The 21,515-nt window shown below is 37.4% G+C and overlaps 1 protein-coding gene and 1 long non-coding RNA gene across 12 annotated transcripts in view; one reads left to right on the top strand and one right to left on the bottom strand.

The window, feature by feature from the left end:
- Positions 1-21,515, bottom strand: part of DPP10 (dipeptidyl peptidase like 10) — a 1,403,140-nt gene that overhangs the window by 684,394 nt on the left and 697,231 nt on the right. The gene's annotated exons all lie outside the window — the stretch shown is intronic.
- Positions 44-17,339, top strand: DPP10-AS1 (DPP10 antisense RNA 1). Its single transcript, NR_036580.1, has 3 exons — positions 44-283; positions 16,360-16,528; positions 17,019-17,339. It is a non-coding gene; the product is annotated as a DPP10 antisense RNA 1 (long non-coding RNA).

Genomic DNA, 21,515 nt, shown 5'->3' with positions numbered 1-21,515 from the left:
CCGGAGAAGCGGAGCGCGCCCGTGCGAAGCACTGGGTGGCTCCAGCTCCGCCACTGCGCGCGCTCCAGCGCCCCAGAAGGCAGGGGGCAGCCCGGGGACCGGGGTCCCGGAGCCCCGTGGGAGGCGGGCAACACCTGTCGGGACCCGAGGGCGTGTCTGAGATTGTGGCCTGAGGTGCTGCGCCTTCCGATCCGGGGCAGCGGGCGTCCTGTAGCTGCGCCTTCCGAATCCAGCCCAGATTCTCCTACCAGCTGCTTGGGTCACGTCGGTGGAACTCCTAAAGGTCGGTTAAAAACCATAAGAACTGTAATGATGATAAGACTCTGATACTCATTTCTTTTTTCTTTTTCTTTCTTCCTGGACACGTGTAGGAAAACCTTCAAATCTTAAGTCCTCCCAGCCTTTCCTTTCTTCAACACAACCCTCTCCCATTCAAAGTAGGTTTACCGAGCACCTACCACGTGCCAAACACACTGTGAGGCTCAGAGAGAGGGTCGCAGGGGAGAGAAACTAAACAACACGGCAAACCTACCAAATCCCCTGGCTGCAGGGAGCTTACGTTGTGTGGGAATTGGGAGCCCGGAGCCTGGATACAAATCAATGAGTCAATGTAGCTCTTAGGAAGTTGAATTACCGCGGATAGACAAAGTCCACAGTTCATCCAGATGCACTAGTGCACGTGGCTTTCCCTAGGGCGCCTAAAGCCTGTGGACCACAAACAGCCTCCAAGTCTCAGGCACAGGTTGTGGAAGATTGCTTACCGGAGAAATGGCAGGAGTGAGTTGAATATTTAGGTGTTCATGTATTCAGCACAAGACAGTTCCAGCAGAGAGGACAGAGAATATGGGGCAGTGGGGTGGCAGTGAGTTGGGCTTTATTGGCTAAGGACTGGCTCCCTGCTCTGAGCCACTCAGTCCATTAATTAGTCACTTCTTAACTGAAAGACTTTTGTAGAATGGTAGGAGCTGTCCTCTTGCCTTAGTAGTTTCTAAAACACGAATTATAATGTTGTCCTAAATATTAATTGTAACGATACTTCCTATAAAGTATGTATTTTAAAATAAATATATCAGTAATCACCAGCAGAAAGATAGAATTAGAGGTGAGTGGAGATCTTGTTTTTCAAAAATATGTATTCCAGTGCATATTGTGAAAGACCTATTTATTCTGTTTCAGGAGAAATAACTTTTTGCTAGGAATAACTTTGCAAGTTGCAAAAGCATAAAGCAAATATATATTTTTAATGAAACATTAGTGTAATAGCTATTGGGCAGCTTATCCAGTAATTATGACAATATAGATATTCCCTCACATGTAATTCTTTTGGAGGGAGGGCATCTGCATTATTCAGAAAATGTTCGCATTTTTATATTTTGCTCTTCTGTTGATTATTTGAGTATATTCATCCTTTCATTGTGTTTCCATTTCGGACAATCTGCTTGAGTTGAAGGAATTTACTTTATTACAGAGATATCTGTCACACAGGATAAGTACATGCTGGAGGGAGATATCCTTTTATATAAGATTACTTATTTGATTGAGTTCAACTGTTGAATTTGCATCTGTGTTCTGAATTCAGTATAAAATCCACTTCATTACAAATAAAGACAAACATTATTATATGTTTCATGTATTGTGGGGGTCTGTGTGTGTATGTGTGCGTGAATTTTTTTATTTATAAAATGCTTCTTTGATTTAAGTATTTGTCCTTGGGGATGGGTTGTTATTTTGTCAAGCTAAGAACATTTTTAGCTGTTGAGATCTGGGTTAAGGGCACTGATTAAAACTTAATCACATGTAAACGGATTTTCCCAATTTAAACACTGTTTTTATTTTTTTAATGTATTGCACTTGAATTACAGTGTAAGATGTTCTACTTCATTTTCAACTTAATTTCTTACTGAAGAAAAAATTCTAACGTCCAAACAAGAAATGTTGGAATACCTTACACCTTAGAAGGGAGTATTTGCAGTTCTGTTTTGTATGGTTTCTAATGATGTTATTTTTAAAGAAACATTCTCCTGCCTCAGCCTCCCAAGTAGCTGGGACTACAGGCGCGCGCCACCACACCAAGCTAATTTTTTGCATTTTTAGTGGAGACGGGGTTTCACCGTGTTAGCCGGCATTGTCTCGATCTCCTGACCTAGTTATCCGCCCACCCCGGCCTCCCAGAGTGCTGGGATTACAGACATGAGCCACCATGCCATGCCACTTCCACCTTTTTACCTGGTAAAATTAAAATGTTTAGACCAGGTGCCCATTAAGATATTCTCATTCTCTAAGTTTTTGTGATGATATGTTGATGTTATAAATCAAATGCCTATCTTCTGAATGAAAAATTATTTGTATATGTTTAAATTTTAGTGGGAGAGTCAATTAAGTACTTAGAAATTAAAAAAAAAAAACTCAATAGATAAGTTAATTACCTTGCAAAAGGCCCTTACCATCCACCATATTTTCCAGTGCTCTCTAGTTTTACATGCACATAGTCACAATTTTGTCTTGATAATGTTTAAATCTGAAATTTAAAATGTATTTACAAAGCATAACTTCTGAATACAAAAATCTATTTAAAGAGAGTTTTTTAAAAAAAAGATTCACAGAGTATTTTGAATACTTTTTCATGTATTATCTTTGATCAGCTAATTCATGGACAAGCATACATTTTATAACATTCATATAACAGTAAAGGAAGTTTTTCTACACTTTTCATGGGAAGAAATCAGACTCTCATAACTGAAAAGGAACTGGAGAGATCACCTAGCAAAATTCCTTCTATTTTGGGTTATAAATATCTAAACTTTACAACACATGGCCATTTTATTCAGGAAGATTTCCTAGAATTCAAACTCCATCACTTCTTTCTGAAAATGGATTACCTCAAATCCTAGTTTTGGGTTCACATGTAGACAGAACTCACAATGCTGCTTTCTCAATATATTCATTTGGGTTTCTGAAGCCATTCAAAAACTTCCTCACATACAACATTGTGAATATCTACAATGTCTTTCTTTCTCTTGCTGTTTTACCCTTTAAAAACAGGAAGTCAATGCAGTACATCTCTCTTTACCTAGAAATATTAAGGTAGATAATTGAGGACGGGTTATGAAATTTAGATAATAATTGGATTAATTGAAGATTATCGTTATAGTGTTTTGGTATCTGTGGCAAAATTAGGTTGTTCTATACATACATAGGTCATCTATGCAGTATTTAATCCTCCACCTCAAATAGCAGACAAAGGACCAAAGAACCAAAATTTACTCTAAAAACAACCAAGTAAGAAATAAGGTCTAGCTAACAGCTGATATGTCAGAAAGACAAATGTCCCTTGAGATTTTCTGAAGTAGGATACCCTTTAGAGACAAACTCTTCAGTTTCAGATAAATTAGACAAGGCAAACAGTACTCCACAAGCAGCTAGTTGCTAGAAACCCTCACTGCATTTTCCTTCTCTTTGCTCCCCTTCCTGAGGTAAATCTGCAGTGTCATGTAAAGACCACCTTGATGGGGATTTCCCTAGCATTAGCCAGTCCTCTGTTGAGTGTCTATAATGAGCACAGCATCAAGAAGACAGAGTTCACGAGCTGTGTCTTCAGAGACTTGGCCTGAAATATGCCCAATTAGCTCTTTGCAGATAAAGAAATAGCTTTAGTTCATATCTTCTGCTATCATTTGGTTTCGATTTATGAATGACCTCTACTCACCTCAATCGGGTTTTGAATTCCCCAAAATGCACATCATGTCCCTGGACAGAAAACCAGTATGCTGAGCAATCCTCATAAACAAGCTACATTTTAGAAGCTCTAACCAGTAAACTATAACAGGAATTTACTTTTAAAGTAAAAAAGAAGAAAGAAGTAAAGGCACTATATATATAAGTGATACTCATGTATACTATTCATTCTGTTTTGAGTTTCTTTCAGTATCAGTTAACTAAAGTTTTTGTCAGTCTCTGTCTTTGACAGGAAGACTTTCCTGTTATAAAAATTCATAGCCCAATTATGATCTCTGGTGGAAGCAGACAGAGTTGCAATATCCTGAGAGTCATTCTTGCTCTCTGGAGACCTGAAGATATTGAACAAATTGCCCATGCCTACTGAGGTCCAGTGTTGTCAAATCTCTCTTTTTTTTTTTTTTTTTGCTATATTTAAAACCTCACATCTTCCTTTCACCCCACCGCCCTTCTGTGTCATATATACAGGAATTAAGACAGTAAAACAATGCAGATTATTTTACCGTGTATGCTTTTCTCTGTATACATGTAGCTGAATTGTAACACCAAAACAACTTGAGAACGTGAGAAATTTACCTGCTGTTGTCATGTTTACCCACTAGATGCCCAACAAGGGATGTGTGTTTCTTTATTTTGCTCTTTATTTTTTAAGAGTTGTCATTTAATGAATTGGTTATGTCGGCACAGTAAAAAAGAAAAAAGAAAACCTTCCATCATCTCTTTGAGCTGATATTAATGGTATTTTTTTTCCTGATTTTCACAACTCTTTAGAAATAAAATAAAGTTTTCTCAATCAGATTTGTCTACAAATGACAGAGGTTGCTATGTATGGAGGAGTATTTAGAAACATTGGCATCGCATTTGTCCTTTTGAGATAATGTCTGCCTGTGATGAATAAATTTCTTTGAATCTGGTATTTCTCGTTTCCATAACCAAGACAAGATTCCCTAATGATTCAAAATAATCTTCCTTTATTCCTTGAAAAGTACGATATTACTGAGCCTTCTCTTAGATTTAGACTTCATAGTGGTTACTCAATTTCTTTCCTTATAAAATTCCCATAATAGCACAAAACACATTTCCCATTCTAGAAAATCTTTTACAAATCGAAAGAGAAAATTCTACTGTAAGATCTTGACTAATTTTTGGAAGGAAAGATTTTCATCTTTTTTAACACTTCCACAATGTTCAATTTGTTTTTAAAGATTTAGTACTAGATTCAAATTCTCCCATGAATTTTCCCCTAGAAAACAAGAGATAGTCGAAGATTCTGGTGCAATAGCCCTAGAGCATCCGCTGACATTAAAGAGTCCCTGGCATTGTCTCTACCAATTGACTTTCTACCACTGGGGATTTTTCTTCCACTATTGCCAAAGGAAACTTGAGGCCAAGTCCTTGGGTTCCTTTCACCATGCAGAGTCAGGTGATTATACAAATAATAGTTTCGGGATATCAGGGGAGGCAAAGTACATTGAAATAAGACACATTAAAACACATCTTTCAATACTGAACATTGTTTAATTCTGTTTCATCTATTAGACACGATGAGTTGCTTGCTAGTGTATATCCCTTGTTATATTCATCTGTCTGTCAATCTGTCACACATCTGTATCTTTTTGGGAGAGTAAGGAAATGTTTAAGTCACTCAGTTTCTATCCTGCATATCTAAATATTTACTAAAGTCACAGATCTTTATCCAAATCAAAGAAGAAAGAGAAAGAAGAGGAAGAGACAAGGTAGAGTAGGAGGAGAAAAAGGGAAGGGAAACGCCAAGAGAATACATTCTGAAGTTGTTAGGGATGTTAGGGTGTAGTAAGTCTTATTGGCTTATTAACACCTTCATAAGAATCATGAAATGAAATACCATAAATCCCACTGGTTATGCCTAAATATTGCTTCTGCCATTGGTTTTCTATATATTTGTATAATTTTAGAATGCAGTCAAAAGTGTAACTTCCTCATTCCTCTGTCAGTAAGTTATACTTGATATTACTAATTAATTTCAAGCTTACCTTGCCTTGTAATATTTTATCATTTGTTACACTTAACAATTAGACCGTAAGCATCAGAGGAGGAGGAGGAATCTATTACAGATATGATAGTTCTTACATATCAATGACTAGAAAATCACCCTTCAGTTAGCAACTTGATTTACTGAGCAACACTTATAAGAGTGTTTAATCTTAGTTAATAGGACATCAAAAGCCTCACAGGACAAATGGGCAGTCCTCTTCCCTTCAGGGGTCCCCTGACCTTTCACATGGAGAAGCCATCCACTCACATTTTCATCTTCCCGAATATAACTGATCTATTAGGACTCAACACCTTTCACAACCTTCCCATCGCAAGTTCACAGGGACTTTCTTCTTTCACTCTTTGTAGTGTCTATCTCACTGCACAATTGAATGCCTTTAGTTTCTAATATTAGGTTGGTGCAAATGTAACTGTGGTTTTTGCAATTAAATATAATAGCCCTAGCACTTTGGGAGGTCAAGGCAAGTGGATCATTTGAGGTCAGGAGTTCGAGACCAAGCCGGTCAAATGGCGAAACCCCGTCTCCACTAAGAATACCAAAAAAAAAAAATAAATAAAATTAGCTTGGTGTGGTGGTACGTGACTGTAATCCCAGCTGCTAGGGAAGCTGAGGCAGGAGAATCACTTGAACCCGGGAGGCGGAGGTTGCAGTGAGCCAAGATGGCGCCACTGCACTCCAGCCTGGGTGACAGAGTGAGATTCTGTCTCAAAAAAAAAAAAAAAAAGTAATGGCAAAACCGCAATTTTTTTACACCAACCTAATAGCTTGTTCAGCATCCTAATTGTCATATGGGGCATCTTATCTTTTCTACTAATATCAATGCTTAGTGGAGAGGAATTCTGTTGGGGACTGGAGTTAACTGTGTGTGTGTGCTCAGGGGGTGGTGGGTAGGGGTCTACATCAGTCTCCTTGCCTAAGTAGGGGGAGCCTCAGAGGAAATGCTCTTTGAAAAAAAAATCTTTATTCACCCTCTCAATATTAAGCTCTATTAGCATCTCCTATAATCTTGTATTTTTTATTTTACTGAATAGGATCATCCAGGGAAAATATATTTTCTCTTTCTGTTGTCCCAGAATATTTTACTTTTCTCTACTTGACATGTAGGAATTACATAGTCTTGATATTCCTCTGAATATCAAGATTCATCTTATCAAGATTCATCATATCAGCATCTGATCTACTGATGTTGGATATGAGTAAGAACCCATCAGATATTGCTTAGTTCTAAAACATTAAGTAAAAGCCACATAAGCATGGAATTTTCTACTGCTTAGGAGCAGGTACTACGTGTTATGAAGTACCAAGCTTCCAGTGTGGAGAGCTCACAGGAGAATTTGGAGAGAATTATGTTTGCACTATCACTCCTAATTTATTTCTTACCTAATATATAAACACTATACTAAATTTGGAGGAGGAAGAGCTATAATGGGCAAAATGCTGAGGAAATATTGAAATTGAATAAAATATTTGTTGTTGTAAATACAGCTTAAATTCCTCTAGACTATATATACTGCCAAAAGGACCATAAAGTCAATAGAAATTTCTAAGATTATGCTCAATCTCAGAAGATAGTTATTTTTGCTTTACATCCTCTGCACACATATTAAATAAGCTTGTTTATCTGCTTTGCTAGTTTTTGACAACATATTTGGAAAGAGGGTAAGGGGAATTGCTGATAGATGGGGTATACAAATATAGCAAGAAAATAAGATACAGAATGTTATAGAAAGCAAAGAAAGAAAACACTGGCCCCTCCACTTAAAATAATAACAACTTAGTACCACTTAGTATGGGGGAGGGGTAGGAGAGACAAGTATTTTTATGCAACTTAGGAAGATCTTAGAAATAAGTATTTTAGGGAAAAATATAAGTATTTTAGGGAAAAATAAAGTTTATGCTCAAAATGAGGACTTCAAAAAAGGTAAAATCAGGCTTGGCATACTTTTTTTGAAAGGGTTATTTTGGGAAGATAGGCTGCTGTGATGACAGCATGGGTTTAGGCTAGATAGAGAGTTAGATATCAGAACCAAATGTACAACATTTACACCACTTCTAAATAACTAGATACCTATGCAAATCCGTAAACACCAAAAGCCACACAGTGTGGGTGCCCTTGTGTCTATGTGAGCGAATGCAGAAGAAAGCAGTAGGGCAAATTACAGTTGTGATAATTCCAAAATATTTAAGAAAGGAACCCCCAAATAGTCAATGCATATTCACTAGAAACTACAGTGGACCAACATAAGAACACTGAGTGGAACTAGGAGAGGTTTTGTGCATTCCAACAGTAAGTAAAATGGGCCCTGTGGGGAGCCCCTTTCCCAACAGGAAATTGGTCCCTCATATTTCTGCATTTCTTATCAGAAGAAAATACCCTGTTTCATAATATCTTTTAAAGAATATTTGTGCAGCAATTAACCTGGAAAGAAGGACTAGTATCTTCCTCTGGAGCAAAGGACAAGCATTATTACTCTTCAGTATAAAAAAGATAATGTCTTCCTCTGGAACAAAAAACAAGCATGCTTACTCCCCATTATAAAAGATTTGGGTTCCTTAAGCTCAGGGTTCCTCTTCTATAAACTGCAATCTACTGTGTGGGTAGGCATCCATCTGGCTTAACCACCCCTCCCATGGTACTTGAGGAGAAGAAGAACTCACACAAATACGTTCATGTTCATCCTACTCATTATACTATGAGTAATCAAAGTCTTTGTCTCTGACCCTCAGTCTCATGTCTTTTGCCGACATCCATAAACCTGGCGGGTTAACTCATTAGCTCGAAAGCAGTATAAAATCTCAGCTGTTTCGTTGTTCTTAGCAGGTCTATGTCAAGGTCTTAGGTGGCTGGTGCAGTCTAGATCCTGTGAACTCTTGAAACCAAACTTCCAGGCATCTTTCCAAAACAGGACCCCATACTGAGGATAAACTACTAGAAGTGGAGTCAAAATTGAACTGAATAGACATAATAAAAATGCAGGAAAGAGAAAATCCAGACAAACCTGTTTCCAGGTAAACAGATATAAGAAATCTATGAAAACAAGCCAATATATCTATTTTTTACTGTTACATAACAAGAGAAGAAGGATCTCCTTTAGGTTGAAAAGTCAGTCTTAAATTTTACCTATCTAAAAGTTCAAAAAAACTAAATTTATACAAAAATGAGCAACAGAAAACTATCAAGGTCAAATGCCATGTATGTAAAGTTTAGCCCCCAAAACAAAGTTGCTACAAGGAAACATAGAATGAAATTCCTATGGACCAGAGACTGGCAAATTGTAGCCCAGAGGCCAAATCCAGTCTACTTTCTGTTTTTAGAAATAAAGTTTTATTGGTACATAGCTACTCTCATTCATTTACATATTGCTTATGACTATCTTCATGGTACAATGGCAATGTTAAGTATTTGTGACAGGCCATATGGCCTACACAGTGTAAAATATTTACTGTCTTGAACCTTACAGGAAATTTACCAACTTCTGCTATTGACAAAATAAGCCTGCCAAAAAATGTCATGCTCAAAATGTTTTCAAAAGTGTAACATATTATTTTAAAATAAGCTAAAGGACATTAAGAAAATCATCATGCAACACATGAAAAAAACATTAATCAGAAGTAGAAAAAGAGATCAAACTCAAGAAAAAATTAGAAAGAAAAGAAACAGCATAGTAGGAATAAGACTAATCTAGAAGGAAAATAAGAGGATATAAGTACAAAAATAACACTTTAAAGGAAATCAAGTTGAGAAGGAGAAAAATATTTAACACTAAAAAGAAATTAAAAAATAAAGAAAGAGGTTTCAAGAAAATGTGACATGTATTATAGATGGCAAAAAGATCCATGAATGTTATAGGAGTTTCTGAGTGAGAGAATAAAGCAAGGATTTAAAAAAAAAAAAAAAAAATTCAATACTGACTGGGCGCGGTGGCTCACGCCTGTAATCCCAGTACTTTGGGAAGCCGAGGCGGGTGGATCACGAGGTCAGAAGTTCAAAACCAGCCTAGCCAACATAGTGAAACCCCAGCTCTACTAAAAATACAGAAAATTAGCCAGGTGTGGTGGTAGGTGCCTGTAATCCCAGCTACTCAGGAGGCTGAGGCAGGAGGATCACTTGAACCCAGGCGGCAGAGGTTGCAGTGAGCCGAGATCACACCATTGCACTCCCGGGTGACAGTGCAAGACTCTGTCTCAAAAAAAAAAAAAAAGTATAAGAAAGTAATCCTGAAATTTAAAAAAATCAATTAAACTTACTGAAAAATCTCATAGTGTAACTGATAATATTAACGTAGTACAATCAACACGAAGTAAAATTAAGAAAGAGGAAAAAAAGAATTACTTGGGCATGTAGGGCAAAAGAATACTTGAGTTAAAAAGGAACTAAGATTATTATTATTAAACTTTCCAACAGTAACACTTTATCTTAGAGAGAAAAAAATGAAGTAACATATTTAAGACATTCAAGAAAAGACAATATGGACCGGAGGTTTTATATTCAGTAAAACTGAATTTCAATTATAACGGTCATAGAAAGACTGTTACCAACATGCAATCACCCAAGGAATATTGTCCTCGTGGGAGTTTTTTGAGGAGTCTTCTAGAAATCAGTTTTAGAAAACAAAATTAACAGGAACATCGCCATTAAATAAAAAAAAGTGTGTAATTTTAAATTTTTTAGTAGCCACCTGAAGAAAGTAAAAAGAAACAGAAGAATTTAAATCAATGGTATATTTTATTTATCCCAACACACTAAACGTTTTATCATTTTGATATCTAATATATATGAAAATTGTCTATGAGACTTTACATCGTATAGTAAATTTCCAATATCCAGTATGTATTTTATGCTTACGAACATACCAATTTAGACCAGACATGTTTCAATTGTCCAATACCTCATGTCACTAAGAGCCACTGCGAACATTCCAGAACTGGAGAGACATAAGCCTAAGAATTATGGTGGATTACACATTTAGTGATAGTAGAATAAGACAAATTGAGTGTTAAGTAGGAAAGAGTACATAACAGCTATATTATCTACCAATGTAGATTTAGTACAACCAAATGGAGAGAATGAGATAGCATATGCAAGAAAACATATTTTCAATAATTATAATGGGTGGTGGTAATATTTGTATAGTTACTTTTTTTTCTGTTGTGTGTATAATATTGGAAAAGTAAATGAGTAATTATGAGATGTTCTAACTCTCTAATCGCCAAGGCTTTAAGAACTATAATTTTCACTATAGATAAGAGGCAAATAGAAGATGTTCCTTTAGAAAATAGCCCTGAAATTGAATTGGACATTTTCATTTGGAGATATCATTATTATCTCATTCCTAATGCACAACAGCATTAGCAGTGAGGCTATGCTTCCCACAGCTTGTGCTAGGCGAATGACTGAGTGCAGGCGGCAGAGATACTGAAGCAGTCCCCTTCATAGGGCTTGTGGGAATCCTCCGTTGGACAGCTTTGGTTTGAGAACCCTCCTAAATATTTCTTAGACCTGAACTACAGTTTGAGACTCTTTCTATCTATTCTCCTTTCTTCCCATTGACCTTCACAGCAGTAAAGCCTACATCACAGTCAAAGGGTTATTCCTGCTTTTTCCATTCACTCTTTTATTCCCTCACAGGCATTTTCTCCAATAACTCTCTTGCACATCCACTTGCACCTGCTTCTCAGAGGACCTAGATTAACTCGGTCTAAAAATAATGACTGACCTAGTATAAATTAATTGTCAAATAAAATGCAGGGTGCTCAATTAAATTTGAGTTTCAGATACACAACGAATAATTTTTTAGTATAAGTATGTCCCAAGTAGGTGACTACGTGGCTTGTATTTTTATGTGCTAACTTTGGCAACCCTAGTAGCAATGACTATCACTTGCAACCAGGTTGTGGTGTTAAAACAAACAAACAAACAAACAGACAAACAAAACAGAATTTCTTAGAAAAGTGCTGAATACAGATATAAGAAAAGGAGCACACCAGATAAATCTGAAACATTTTGTTATGAACTAACATGGGAAGTATCAAAGACTACTAGTTCAAGAGGAATCAAAAGTTAACCTTGAAAAGCCTCCACCTGGATGAAGAAGGAAAAAATAGCACTTCAATAAGGATAAAAATTACAGTGCATTGGGATCCATCAGATAAATTTAAATCCTAATTGATGAGGATGATAGGGAACCAATTTATTATCACAAAACCTATCATAAAAACTTCAGTTCTGTCCTTTTTGGAGTTATGCCCCTGGGTAACCAAATTGTAGGTGAAAGGAAGAATTACCTTACATATGAAATTATTTGAGCTAATGTGTAAAAATAATGGATAGAATTAGAGTATCACCATTTTATAATCACCAAGAAAATAACCAACTGCCGTTGAGCATCAATTTGCCTCCTGATGAAAGATTCAGTGCTACCTATAGTGTTGCAAACAATATAAAAGCTGAGTTTGATCAAGGTTCCTGCTGCCACTTGCTGGAAATGCAGAGAAGAGAAGAACATGTAAATTGGCACCATGAGTATATCAATATACTCATCAAATCCACCCTGGGGTAAAATCCACAAGTGGCCCATATTTGTCAACAGATTAATTTTAAGGGAAAGGAGTTTGTGGGAACAAGGGAGATGACACATTGATGATATTGAAGCTAAAAGACATATCAATTTGAAAATTGATGACATTATAATGCCTTAGGATGTTCACTTAAATGGTAAACAATAAAAATGCAAAAAAAGATTAATATGAAAGTCAAGAGGGTGGTTATTTTTGGAGACAGAGAGGACAGAGAATGTATAGAGACTTCTGGATGGCTAGCAAGATTTCATTCTTTGACATGCGTAGCGGTTAAGATGGTATTTGCCTTATAATAATTTTGTGTGGTTTGCTGTATCTGTGTTTCATTTTAAAATAAAAGTTTAAACAGTGCCTAATAGAGTTCTTGTCTCTTAGTAAACACTCAATAAGAGGTAGCTATTAAAAAATATAAAATAAAAGACAGAGACTACACTTAGAGCAATTCCTTCTCAACCATTATTTTTTAAAGTGATGATAAACCTCTAGCTCTCCAGGGTCATGCTCTCTCTCCAGTGTATGTACAGCTATAAAATTGCTCCTGCCTCTCCAAAATGTGTTTATGGCATTGAAAGCAGAATGCAGACACTGTTTATTCTTTTAGACCTCCTCAGAGTTAGCAAACACCAAGACAAACTCAAGAAGTTGTAAAGAGAATGGGGGTTTATGTCACTGAGATCCTCATCTCAAGGTCATTAACTCATTTCCATGCTTGTAAATATGTATCAACTTAGCCTGCATTCTGCCTTATGGAGAAAATTGTAGATTGTGGTCTATTTGTTGAATTCCAAGTTTACCTGAAGAAAAGCAATAGGTCCTGATCTGAGCCCACTCTTTCTTATTGATTGCAGAACTAAACAGCCTATGTTATATAGAGAACAATTAATGCTCTTAGCAGGATTTGTGGCTTCAGGTGACAATGCCTCTTGCCTTTGTGAACTCAGTGACAGGCTTGTTTAAAAGACTGTAGTACTCAGTCTGCAATTTTGTAGCTGCAAATGGGGTTCAAGAAAGGATGGCTTCTCTTCATGTGTCTAAGATTCCTTTCTTATACAGCACCTACCTTGACACCATCTCTCCTCAAATTGCCAAGTCTTGACACAGTGGGCTGTGTCTGAGGGTCCAAACGGGGTTTCCCTATCTACCAAAAAGAGCTAAAGTCTCTAAATTTGTACATCCCTGAGGACATCCACTCCAAATACACATTCTTTTCACCTAAAAACATTTTCAAGTTTATTTAGATTCCTCAAAGAAGCCATGCATCCCTGCCCACTCCCATGAAAAGTGATTTCTTCAGTTTTTCATTCTCAGAGTATTCAATTTCTACACTATGGATTTGTCACATATCATTTATATTCTTATATTTTTGGGTCTCACACTACCATTCTGCCACGCTTTCCACTCTACCACTCTGTTACTCAATTTCCTTTTGTTTTTGAGAATAATAATAATGAAAATAATAATAGCTCACATTTATTGAAAGTATAATGTGAATCAGGCACTGTCTAACTCCTTTAATTCAATAATTCTAGAGTGTAGAGGCTTTCCTTATCTCCATTTAGAATCTTGTACACCAAGACCTAAAAGGTGTTACTAAAGCTTGCCCAAAGTTCCACAATGACTTAGAAGCATAGCAGAGATTTGAACACAGGCAATTCTATTGTTAATATCCTTAATAATGTCTTGTCTTGGATCAAAAGCCACAACAAAAACATGTCTGTTTATTTTAATTAATAAGTTTTCATAGAGTGCCTGCAATAATGACTTTTTCCTTAGCCTGAAATTATCGTGAAATATACTATATATGTAGTATATTATGGTATACTATGGTATAGCATATATACAATACTATATATATACACACACTATATATGCATATATATAGTATATATAGTATAGTAAAATATGCAAATATATTCAGTTTTTCCATCCAATAAAACGACATTAAATAGACTTTTATAGTTAGATAAATCTGTCATAATGCTAGAAGTATTTGGTATGATCTTTGTTCAATTTACCTAGCACAAAGTATATCTTAGTCCCTATGCACTGTTATAACAAAAATGTCATAAACTGGGTGGCTTATAAAAAACAGAAAATGATTTCTCACAGTTCTACAGGCTGTGAAGTCTAAGATCAAGTCTCTGGCACATTTGGAGTCTGGCGAGGGTCCACTTTCTAGTTTATAGGTGGCACCTGCTGTGTCCTCATATGTGGGAAGGAGCAAGCTACCTGTCTAAAGTGTTTTTATAAGAACAGTAATTCCACTCAGGGCTTTGCCTTTATGACCTAATCACCTCTCAAAGACCCCACCTCCTAATATCATCAACTTGGTGATTATGATTTCAATTGAATCAACTGAATCAATATGAATTTTGGGAGGATACAATCAGACTATACCAGAATGATACATAGTAGATATTTGAAAGACTCGAGGTTGTTTTTTTTTTTTCCCCTGTTGTCAAATTTATCTCTAAGGTAGAGTGTATGAGGAAAAGATTTTATAGCATCCTTAATTAGGGAACATAGAAAACTATATATTCACCTACATTTAAGATATAATCTCAATGTTTTTAGTATAATTTATTTTATATAAATAACAGGGATTTTGTAAATATACTTCAAAGAGAAATACATGATACAAGATAGAAACAAAGTATCAAAACTGCTACTTGGACTTCGAGTAATCCTAGAATGGTAGTATAATGGCTCTTAATCTTGAGTGTGTTTCAGTTTCTCCCACTCCAGATCCACACCCAGCATGAAGATTCTAATGCAATATTTTACAATTCAGAATTCTGAATTTTTATCACCATCCTGCTTGGTTTGAAGTATGGGATTCGGGATCACACTTTGAGGAAAAATGTATGTAGTGGTTAAAAGATGAGATTTGGAGTCAGAAAGACCCCAGCGTCATAGATTCAACATTTACTAGCAGTGTACTTAACTCTTCTCAACTTCAGGATTTTTTTCCTGAAAATGCATAATAATGGTGTATCTGACTCGTAGGGTTATGAGAAAATATATGAAAAGTACTCTGCATAGTGCCTAGTACATAGAAAGTTTTAACTAGGTGTTTGCAAGTAATGGCAGCAGTGGTAGTATACCATGTTGTAAAATTGTGGGTATTCTCAATAGTATATGTCATTAGGGAATTGAGAATTAAAACAACAATGAGATACAACTACATATCTGGTAGAATGCTAAAATTGAAAATAATGATAACACTAAATTCTGACACGAATGTGGAGCAACTGAAACTCTCATTCATTGCTGGTGGGAACACAAAATGGTACAGCCACTGTACCATTTGGTTTGACAGTTCTTACAAAACTAAATATACTCTTACCGTATGATCCAGCAATTGCACTTCTTGGTGTTTATCCAAATAAATTAAAAACGTATGTCCACATAAAAACCTGCACAGAGATGTTTACAGCACTGTATTTATAATTGCCAAAACTTGGAAGCAACCAAGATGCCCTTCAGGAGATGAATGGATGAATAAAGTGTGGTATATCCATACAACGAAATATTATTTAGTGCTAAAAGAAAATGAGCTGTGAAGCTATTAAAATGCATTGATAAATCCTAAGTGCATATTACTAAGTAAAAGAAGTCAGTCTGAAAAGGCTACATACTTCATAATTCCAAATATGTGACATTCTGGAAAAGACAAAACTATGGAGACAGTAGAAGGATGAATGATTGTCATGAATTTGAAAGGAGGGAGGAAGTGATGAATAGGCAGAGAATGGGAAACTTTTAGGAACAGGAAACTATTCTGCCTGATACTGTAATTGTGGATATGTCATTATACATTAATCAAAAGCCTTATTTTATCTCTTTCTTCCATTCATCTTCTTGCCTTTCTTTTATTTCTTCTTTTTTTTTTCTGACACACATATCACAAAAGAATCAAAGCCAAGAAAGGATATGTATATAATAATTACAAACTTTTTGATCGCAAGGCAAAGGGTTAACAGTGCAAATTTTTCTTCCTGTTTCCTCAGGGATGCCTTCAAAATGTGTGAATAAGCTTCAATCAGACTGCCCTTCCCAAAGAAAATAACTATAAATGCTGGAAAAACTACAAAACAGCCACCTGAAGGCACTGGCGAGAGACAAAAGCAAGCAAATTCTGGAGAAGAGTCAACACTTGGAAGAAGGGAGCTGCACTGGGTGAGTTCTTTCTTTTTATTTTATTTTATTTTATTTTTTTATTATTATACTTTAAGTTTTAGGGTACATGTGCACAATGTGCAGGTTAGTTACATATATATACATGTGCCATGCTGGTGTGCTGCACCCATTAACTCGTCATTTAGCATTAGGTATATCTCCTAATGCTATCCCTCCCCCCGCCCCCCACCCCACAACAGTCCCCAGAATGTGATGTTCCCCTTCCTGTGTCCATGTGTTCTCATTGTTCAATTCCCACCTATGAGTGAAGAGGAAAGGTTTTAGCCTGCACCTTGCAGAGCAGTGAAAACATCATTTAAAACCCTGCCTAATTTTCTGATTGACCCATGAACTACAAACGTGGGTCAGATTCCAAGCAGATGCTTCTTATATTTAAATACATCAAAGTTACAATTTCCTGAATAATTGTGTACTCTTAACTATTCGACGTAAAAAGAGTTAAGTGACTTCTTGTTCTGAATCCTAACAGGTACATGGGGAAGGAACAGTGTCTCTGCATGAGAATGGCCAAAGAACAAGATACATTTCCCCGTGGAGAGCAATCCTAGAGAGAGGGAAGCATGGGTCAGAATAAGGTGTACTGGCCCCAGGGTAATAGCATGTATTTCTGTTGCATTGGTGTTTCCAAAATAATGCTTCGGTTCCAAGTTTCAGGAATTGGTTGGGGGAGCATGGGGATCATACAGTGATTCAGGAGCTTCCTTGCAAGTAAGTGAGTGAGCCAATCAAATAATTTATGTTTAAATCTTTCACTGTGTTAAATGTTGAAAAATAAAGCAAGTGAATTCCATCCTATGGTGTACACAGCCCTTATGATTATCCGATATAGGTCTCAGCCTGAAATAACTCTGCATTTTCTCAGCCACTTTGCTTAACACAGTGTGAAGTGGATCTAGGACAAGGATACAAAAAAAAAATACTATTCTTCTGAGATGACATAAAGATCTGGCAGAAGGAATCTCGAGATTGGCAGAGGCTGCATCTGAGATTGCTCTGTCTTCTGCTGGTACTGGGATATGAACAGAATGAAATGTCCTGGGGATCATTGGGTATCCGGGGAGATTTCTCCAATGTGGTACTTAGCTCATTCCATGATGCCACATACCTTTATGCTATCAGATAATACAAATGACCTAAGGTCTAGGAGACTAAAATCTGTTGAGGCATGGCCATCCTCAGCAAGATCAAGCCCACTGGACTCTAAAGTGCATTTGGCATATTGAGATCCCAGTGCATTTTATACTTTTGTGCTTATGGCATTAACTGCATATTTTAGAATATAGCCTTGTGGAAATTATGCTACATCTTGGATAGTAAGTCATCCACTTATCAGATCCATTTATTCCCTGCCATTTATTTTGCCTCATATTTTATCTACTCAGGCATTCTACAATATCTTAAAGACATCCTTAGCCTGCAGGTTGTCATTGTTGTTTTAATAATCATAATGAACCATTACTTCCAGTGGCCTAAATATTTTCTTTAGTTTTATAACTAGTACTTTAACTTCCATCCTCTGAAAGGGGCTATTGCTTTTCTGTCCAGCCATGGGCTACCAATGGACTTTACCAGTAGGTATAAATGGTGTACCCTTCTGCCTATTGTTTCTGACCTTTATCGAGGGCCACTTCAGCCAGCCTCACAGCACCATGCTCATCCACTGCTATCATGATATGACCTACTGTCCCTCCTAGAACCAGGCAATATCCCAAGGCATGTGAATCTAGCTGGGAGATCAATGAGGCTTAGTATCCACAGAATGAAAAGGTCAATGAAAGGGAGCCAAATGCTGGATTTTTTCTAGGAACAAGAGTTTACCAAAGAAATTTCAGTCAAGAGCCTTGCCCCTTAAAAAAAGTTGAAGTTCAACTCCAATACAAGATCTAGCCCCCAAACTCAAACAACTAGACAAATCTAGGACACCCCCACCACCACCAGCAGCAGCAGCAAGGGTAATAGGCCTCTCTTAGAGGGAGAAAAAACTACTCAGAGTGAGGCAGCTTCGAAAGAGGAGCTGAAGTAGACCAGGGATCCTTAAGGGCTACTGGAGCTGGGGACTTAGGGCACTGTAGCTGTCTCTTCCTCCTGGTGCAGCAGTAAGTATTCCCAGGGAACAACCCAACTTCCCTGGGTCCTGATAGAGAAAGATATACAGCATCTTCAGAAGGGTCTAAAGCCTAAGAAGCCAAAGAAGCTGCCCAGTTAGCGCTTCCCTCTCTTTCTTTGAGAGCTTGTGGGCCCTGCCACACTCACCCCTGATTTTCAGTTCGTGTTTTTCAAAGCTGCAGTAAATCTCTTTGAAACAGTTGAACTTCTGTGCTTCAATTTCTAAACTTGGTCTGCCTCTATTTAGACCAGCAATGTTGGCTTCCATCTGATCTCCATCCCTGGGGCTGATCTCCTGGGTCCATGCTATCTATGAGCGCACATTGCTTTCTTCCCAGCCTTTGACTTTGTCTGTATTTAAAACCTTGGGCTCTGGCAAACAGAGGCTTTTCCTGTATTCCAGAAGCCAGCCTTCTACTACCCTTGCTTGAGTCCCTTTGTGGCTCTGCTTGATTAACTGATCACTGCAAAAAAGCAGTGAATGATTTTTTGCAAAGCCCTGGATTATAGGCAGTTGAATATTAAACAGGCAAGAGGAGTGCAGCCTTTAAAGTAGAAACAGTGTGCTATTATCTGGCTGTCTATATATATAAAATAGGAAATTCTCAAGAACAAGAACTGTATCTTATTTAACTATGGAGCACATAACTCCTAGCCTAGCCCCACGTGCTGGCTCATGCCTCTGATCCCAGGACTTTGAGAGGCTGAGGTGGGTGGATCACTTGAGGACAGGAGTTTGAGACCAGCCTGGCCTACCTGGCGAAAGCCTGTCTCTACCAAAAATACAAAAATTAGGCAGGCATAGTGGCGCGCACCTGTAGTCCCCCCTACACGGGAGGCTGAGGCACAAGAATTGCTTGAAACAGGGAGGTGGATGTTGCAGTGAGCTGACGTTGAGCCACTGCACTCCAGCCTGGGTGACAGAGCGAGACTCCATCTCAAACAGGCAAACACAAATAAACAAAAAACCTCCTTTCCTATTGTAAGCACCAAATGAATATTAGGTGAGTGAATGAATAGAATACACCTGTATATAAGACAGCATGGACTAAATCCTCATAAAGCTTACACTCCTAAAATTATTTCTTTTCCGAATTTAATATATTCTTGTCTAGACATAATGCAGTCGAACAAGTTATTAACAAGTATTTATGTACCCCATCTCATACCAAAATATTTGGAGACAGCTTTTCAACTTCTTCAGATGGAAATGATGGCAGGTAAGGCAAATTCCATGCTCTATCCCTGCCCAGCTATGTTAAGTAGGTGAATCTTTAACCTTTAACCTTTATTCACCTCTAAAATGAAAATAAGAGTTTCCACATCGAAAATGTGTCGGGAAGATCAATTAAGATAATATGTGTGAAGCGGCATGCACGGTGTCTGGAATATAGCAGGTAATCGGTGAATATTCCTTTCCTCCCTGCCTAAATTGCCGATTTATGAGTGTTAGTTTGAGAATGCTCCTGATACAACCTGAAAGAGATGTTCTCTCTGATTTATAAGAACTGCGTACTGAGTAGAAGCAATGAGAATTAATTAAGGAACTTTTCCAAGCCACACAGTTGGCCATAACATCCCTACCCCTATAATGTTTAGAAGATAAAATATTTCTAAGTATTTTTCCAAACCTTAACCACTTCACCAAACATCCCTACCTTCTTGCTCTAACTCAATTGTTCTTATTTCTGGTGGAGTTTTTAATCCACTGGAGGAAATTCACAAACTCTGGTGATTTTTAGGCCTATCTGGTAATCTTACCATATTCCTCTAGTTCATTCATTCTTTAGTTTTTTTTTTTTTTTCAAGATAAGCATGTCACATCTTTTGATCTGTCCACGAATAGCTAAGAAGTATCTCAAAATAATTATGGCCCCCAAATGGACTTCAGATTTACTTTTTTCCCATTATCAACTCCATTTCAGTAAATGGTAGCTCCATCCTTTTAATTATGTGGATCAGAAAACTTGGCGTCATGGATTACTTCTCTTCACTTCTCTCTCCTATCACACACTACCCCCAGTCTATCAGCAAATCCCATTGACTCACATCAGAATAGGCACTGATTTCTCACTACTGTTGTTAGCAATGTGGTCCAAACTCTTAGCACCCTTGGTCTGAATTGTTGCAACAGCTTGTTGTTGTCTTCCTTCTTTTCAGTTTCCTCAGAGTAGCTAAAATAAGCTATTTAAAAGAGAAACCAGATCACATCACTCTACTCAAAAATGTCCAGTGGCCTCTTGCCTCAGTGAAAAGAAAAGCCAAGTTTCCTAGAGCGGCCAAAAGGTTCTGATTGATCTCGCCTCTTTGTTATCACCAGCTCTGAGCCATCATCTTCCATCATCCTCCTTCTGCCCACAGCCCTGCAGCCTCACTTGCTGCCTGCCTTGCTGGTCCTTAAACAGAAACTCTCCGAGCTGTTCCTGCTGTTTCCTTTGCCAGTAGTACACTTCCCTAGAACATCCACATAGCTCATGGTTTACTTCCTCTACATCTCTGTCAAATGTCACTGTGCCTGGAAGATCTTTCCTGATCACCTTCTCTAAAATAGCATCCTTGTATTTTCTATCCTCCCTACCCTGTTTTGTTATTTTTATAAAATTTATTGCCATCTGGAACATGTTTATTTATTTGTTTATATGTTTGTGCTCTCTCTTCTCTTCTTGTAATATATACCCCACACCTCAAAACTTTGGTCTATTTTTTTCACGTTCATGCCCTAAGTACCCAGAATGGTGTTTGCCCCTTATGGGGCAGAGAATGAACATGTGTCTGTCATGGTACATGAATGCTATGCCCTCTCCCATAGGATTCAACTTCTAAAGCTTAGACCTTCTGCCCTATGACTGTTTGGGGCAAA

Source organism: Homo sapiens, chromosome 2 (genome assembly GCF_000001405.40).
Source record: "Homo sapiens chromosome 2, GRCh38.p14 Primary Assembly".
NCBI classification, from domain to species: Eukaryota; Metazoa; Chordata; class Mammalia; order Primates; family Hominidae; genus Homo; species Homo sapiens.
This window is presented reverse-complemented; position numbering and strand designations above follow the sequence as displayed.